General features: G+C 34.2%; 1 protein-coding gene across 1 annotated transcript; it reads left to right on the top strand.

Annotated features, from left to right (window-relative positions):
* The first annotated feature begins 1,544 nt into the window (after positions 1-1,544).
* On the top strand, positions 1,545-4,126 carry OR6C6 (olfactory receptor family 6 subfamily C member 6). The gene is made up of 2 exons (NM_001005493.2): positions 1,545-1,795; positions 2,857-4,126. The coding sequence occupies exon 2, from the start codon at positions 2,882-2,884 to the stop codon at positions 3,824-3,826; it is 945 nt and encodes a 314-aa protein (NP_001005493.1). The 5' UTR covers positions 1,545-1,795; positions 2,857-2,881; the 3' UTR covers positions 3,827-4,126.
* Positions 4,127-6,051: the final 1,925 nt, after the last annotated feature.

Raw genomic sequence — 6,051 nt, 5'->3', positions numbered from 1 at the left:
GTCATCATCCTAAGTGAACTAATGCAGGAACAGAAAACCAAATACCTTGTGTTCTCTTATAACTGGGAGCTAAACATTGAGTACACATGGATGCAAAGAAGGTAACAACAGACACCAATGCCTACTGGAGGGTAGAGGGTAGGGGGAGGGTGAGGATTGAAAAACTCCCTGTTGGGTATTATGTTTATTACCTGGGTGACAAAATAATCTGTACACCAAGCCCCCATGAAATGCAATTCACCTATATAACAAACCTGCAGATGTACCTCTGAACCTAAAATAAATGTTTTCCTTTTAAAATAAAAGATATTGTTCGGGAGAATGTGGAGAAATTAGAACTATTGTACACTGTTGTTGGGAATGGAAAACAGTGCAGTCATGGGGAAAAACATTAAAATGGAGCTATCATAAGATCCAGCAATCCCACTTCTAGGTACACATCCAAAAGAATTGAAACCAGGATCTCAAATTGATATCTGCACTCCCACGTTCAATGCATCATTGTTGATATAGCATGTATAAAATCAACTCTCTTCTCTGTGTCTCCATATATTTCTATTTATATCTATATCTATATATCTATATCTATATCTATATCTGTATCTATATCTATATCTAATATATATCTATCTTATGGGCCAGTGTAGACCTAAGTAGTCTTCTAAATAGCCTGTTAAAAAAGAGGCAAATAATATCGAAATAATTTTAATGGTTAATGAACGAGTTTGAATTTAATGAAAAAGTTCACCTTTTGTGGGTACATCATTTGATGTGCTTTGCCAAATATATATAGTCATGCAATTCCCCCACAATCAAGATACAAAACATTTTCATTATCCTAAAAAGTTCCCTTCGGGAACTTCTGCAGCTAATCTCTTCTGTAGCTAATTTTCTGCCTCTGGAACTACTGATCAAATATCTGTTCCCGTAGTTTAGTCTTTTCCAGAATCATATAAATGAAACCATATAGTACTTTTATATGATTATAAATCATTTGTATCTGTTTCTTTCACTTAGCATACCATTTTTAAGATTCTTGTTTTTTATGTATCAGTAGTTTATTCCGATATATGTGTAAACCAGTTTGAGATGGTCCGATGTTGCCCTGGACAGTGAACTGCTGATGTTACTGTTAAATATCTCATTGATTTTTCTAAATCACTTACAATATTCCTCTGGGATACTTTTTCTTCAGCTAAAGTAGCCTAGAGTGGTGTCTTTTATTGCTGATAATTAGTGCTTCTGTAACACTGACCCCCAGAGAAAAGTTTGTCTTTGTTTTATTTCAATAGATTCCCTTGAGTCTATAGTAAGTAAAAACGATAAAATTGCAGCATTTTATAAATGCACAATTGGTAATATAGAATATCTCTTTCTTGCAATAATTGTTTATCTTTCATCAAATAATTTCTTGATTTTAATTTTCACTTCCCAATCTTATTTTATTTCAAAGAATATATGTCTATCTTGTTTGAGGCTTTGAGTGTTGGCAATCTCAATTGTAATAACAAAATTTCACAAAGTTTAAGTTACTTGGAATGAAAGATAGATGTCCATTAAAATTATTAATATCTGAGTATCAATCTTTATAGTGAGGATGAAGTTGAGGAAATGTGGAAATTCTCTACAGAAACACAATACGTACACATTGCCTCTCCCCACAAAAATCATTGGTAATAAATGTGCCTATTGGATAATAAAATGTGGTCATAAAATGAGTAGAATTGTCACTAATTATGTTAGCATGCATCTCTTCCGTGCACACAGAAAGAAATGAATAATAGATCCAAAAAAGGTAAGTCAACTATAATTTTAACTTAGTCTAAAATCAGAAATTAAGGCAAATGTACAGTAAGTGCAACTCATGGAGTTAAATTTGGCTACTGAATTTTCATGCTTTATAAATGTGTTTTAATAGTACATTAATTTTATAGTTATATACTAATGAGTGTTGTAATCTGTTTTATTCATATACTGTTGCATCAATATAATGAAGTAGACTGACGCATTTAATATAACAGAAAAATATTACAAACTGGGACTAAATAGAATTCTTATATGTAGAAAGGATAGAAAGTAATATGTCTTCAGGGATTTTCAATGGTGTTATAAAGAATATGGAGGAAGTAAAAAATAGCCGAAATTATGTAGCCACACTAATAAAATGACATTTCAAAAAGGTTAATTGAAAAGAAGACACAATTTTTTATTAAAATATATAACTTCTTTATTTTATCATGTTTTCATTTGTTTGTCCCATAAGCTCTTAAACGACTGTTGATTTGAATATAGAAAAGTGCCAATAAAAATAATGTTAATAATATGGTGTATTCTCAATGCAAATAAAATATCAAAACTATTGAAATGAGGATCTTTAACTATTTATTGCATCAGTGCTGCCATAGTCATTGATCAGTACAGGAATTATAATTTAACCCTAAATCCTGGTTTTGAAACATCATCCTCATACTCGTTATAAAAAGACAAACTAATAGTATAATTTGTACAGATATGTTAGAAATAATAGAGAAAAAAATTTAAAATATTAATATGATTTTGTTTAAATTACAAATGCAGAGTAGAGTTCATCTGACAGTGATAAGCTAAAATTCATATTTACCAAAAGTATATATTATTCAAGTTCTGGAAGAAACTTTGTGAGGAATATTATAAAGAGAACTAGTAGATTAGAGCAAATTTTGAATTCACCTATGGTATGTAATTATGTGTCATCTACAATTTCAGGCTGGAGAAACCATTTGCACATGGATAAATTTAAAAAGATATATTTTTTCTGCTTTAGAAATACATATATGTATATATATGTATAAATTTTGTTTTTCCCTTTCTATGTAGATTTGATAAGGATCACAAAAGAGAAATGAAGAACAAATCAATGGAAATAGAGTTCATTCTCCTAGGATTGACAGATGACCCACAGTTGCAAATTGTGATTTTCCTGTTTCTATTTCTCAACTACACCTTGAGCCTGATGGGGAACTTAATCATCATCATCCTCACCCTGCTGGATCCCCGGCTCAAGACGCCAATGTATTTCTTTCTCCGTAATTTCTCCTTTTTGGAAGTAATATTCACAACAGTGTGTATTCCTAGATTCTTGATAACCATTGTGACTAGAGACAAAACCATTTCTTATAATAATTGTGCAACTCAATTATTTTTTATCCTTTTACCGGGAGTTACTGAGTTTTACCTCCTGGCTGCCATGTCCTATGACCGCTACGTTGCCATCTGCAAACCACTGCATTATCCAATCATTATGAGCAGCAAAGTCTGCTACCAACTTGTACTTAGCTCTTGGGTAACTGGATTCTTAATCATATTTCCCCCATTGGTCATGGGACTCAAGCTGGATTTTTGTGCTTCCAAAACTATTGACCACTTTATGTGTGAAACTTCTCCTATTCTGCAGATCTCCTGCACAGATACCCATGTCCTAGAATTGATGTCTTTTACCTTAGCTGTGGTGACACTTGTGGTCACACTGGTATTAGTGATTCTCTCTTACACTTGCATTATTAAGACCATTCTGAAATTCTCTTCTGCACAGCAAAGGAACAAAGCATTTTCCACCTGTACTTCCCACATGATTGTTGTCTCCATGACATACGGTAGCTGTATCTTTATGTATATTAAACCATCTGCAAAAGAAAGAGTGACTGTATCCAAAGGTGTAGCTTTGCTCTATACCTCAATTGCCCCTTTACTAAATCCCTTCATTTATACTCTCAGAAACCAGCAGGTGAAAGAAGTCTTCTGGGATGTATTACAAAAGAATTTGTGTTTTTCTAAAAGACCATTTTAAGAATCTGCTACAAATTACAACTTTACCATAAAAACTGGAAAACGGCCTGGCATGGTGGCTCATGCCTGTAATCACAGCACTTTGGGAGGCTGAGGAGGGTGGTTACCTGAGGTCAGGAGTTCGAGACCAGCCTGGCCAACATGGTGAAACCCCGTCTCTACTTAAAAGTACAAAAATTAGCTGGGCGTGGTGGAGAGTGCCTGTAATCCCAGCTACTCAGGAGTCTGAGGCAAGAGAATAGCTTGAACTCGGGAGGTGGAGGTTGCAGTGAGCCCAGATGGTGCCACTGCACACCAGCTTGGGCGACAAGAGAGAGACTCTGTCTCAAAAAATAAATAAATAAATAAATAAATAAAAATAAATATAAAAAAAGTTGGATTAAGGAATCGAAGAAAGTTAGAGTGGAACTGAGCCATAAAGTTCTTCAAGAGACTATCCTATAACTGATAACTGATAAGGAAGAAAAACTGGAAAACATGTTTTATACATTTATTTTGATCATGTTCTCCCACCTTAAGAGTTATCTCACATAGGGTAGTCTCTTGAAGAACTTTATAGCTCAGTTCCACTCTTACATTATATTCTTTCTCATGAAATGTTTCACACTACTACAATCACTTTCCTCGATTCTTTAATCCAACTTTTAAATAACACCTCTTTATGGCATATCACTTTTCAGAAACCACGACTTTGAATAAAATATGCCTTGTATAAATGTAACTTGGCATATGTAATTTGATAACTAATTCACCATATATTTATTGTAATCTATGTTATTGCAGACATTGTGAAGGATTCAATCGGTACCTTTAAGAAGCTTTCATTGTTTAAAGGACATAAACACATAAACAAAATAGGATCATGCATTGCTTAACAATGGGGATACTTCTGAGAAATGTATCGCTAGGTGATTCTGTTGTACAAACATCCAAGTGTACTTCCAGGAACCTAGGTTGTATAGCTTACTACACACCTATGCCATATAGTATAGCCCTTGTTTCTAGGCTGCAAACTGGTACAGCATGTTACTGTATTAAATACTATAGGCAATTGTAACACAATGGTAAGTATTTATACATCTAAGCATATCTAAACACAGAAAAGGTACAATAAAAATATGGTATTATAATATTATGGGGCCATCATTGTACATGCAGTCTGTCATTGACCAAAATGTTATTACGTGGGACATGACTGTATTGATATACAGCATCTAATTAGTGTTGTAATAAAGATCTACAAAAACATTTATGGGGCAGAGAGGATGGCTTCCATGGAATTTTGGAGATAAGGGAAGCCTTTCAAGAGAAAGTAATAATTATGCTAAAATATGCATAAGGAAAGATGACTGAGATATAAATATATGCAAATAACACAGGTATTAGATAACCGCATGCATTTGGAGAATTAGTATACCTCATTATTAGAAAATGGCTTCAAGATATTCAGTTAGGTTCAGTAAAAGCTTTTCTACACACTCTGGAACACTGCGCAGATCATGCACACTTTTTATGTGTTAGTTTCTCCATATGTAAAGTGGGAGAAATGTATCCCATACCTCATTGCTCAGTAAACATATGCTATTAGAACTATTTACCACTCAATAAAAGATAGCACTTACATTTTTGAACAATTCAAAAATGTGGTACAACTAATATTTTTGTGTGCTGATGAAAGTAAAGTCAACAATAAGTTTGAGGAGGTTGAAGGGTGAAAGCACAAAGGGCCCTGTTTGCCAGGATAGTATTTCGGACTTAAATCTATCATATCAATAATTTTCAAAGGTTTGACTGTCAAGAATCACCCAGATCAGGGGTGTCCAATCTTTTGGCTTTCCTGGGCCACAGTGGAAGAAGAAGAATTGTCTTGGGCCACACATAAAACACACTAACACTAATGACAGCTGATGAAGTTTAAAATAATCACAAAAACATCTCACAATGTTCTAAGAAAGTTTACAAATTGATGTTGGGCCACATTCAAAGCTGTCCTGTGCCACATATGGCCCATGGGCTGTGAGTTGGACAAGCTTGACCTAGATATTTTGTAAATGTAATTTCGAGTTATCATTTTTACTGCTTCTGAGTCAGTATTTCTGGGATAGAGTTAATGTAGCCTATGTTTAATATGCACCCCAGGAGGCTGGGTGCGGTGGCTCACACTTGTAATCCCAGTACTTTGGGAGGCTGAGGTGGGTGGATCACGAGGTCAGGAGTTCAAGACCA

This window comes from Homo sapiens, chromosome 12 (genome assembly GCF_000001405.40).
Source record: "Homo sapiens chromosome 12, GRCh38.p14 Primary Assembly".
Classification (NCBI taxonomy): Eukaryota; Metazoa; Chordata; class Mammalia; order Primates; family Hominidae; genus Homo; species Homo sapiens.
The sequence above is the reverse complement of the archived record's forward strand: the minus strand, read 5'-3'. Positions and strand labels throughout refer to the sequence as shown.

Bases quoted from the DNA above. Each gene is read 5' to 3' on its own strand.
- OR6C6 (NM_001005493.2), top strand. From the start codon at position 2,882: ATGAAGAACAAATCAATGGAAATAGAGTTCATTCTCCTAGGATTGACA.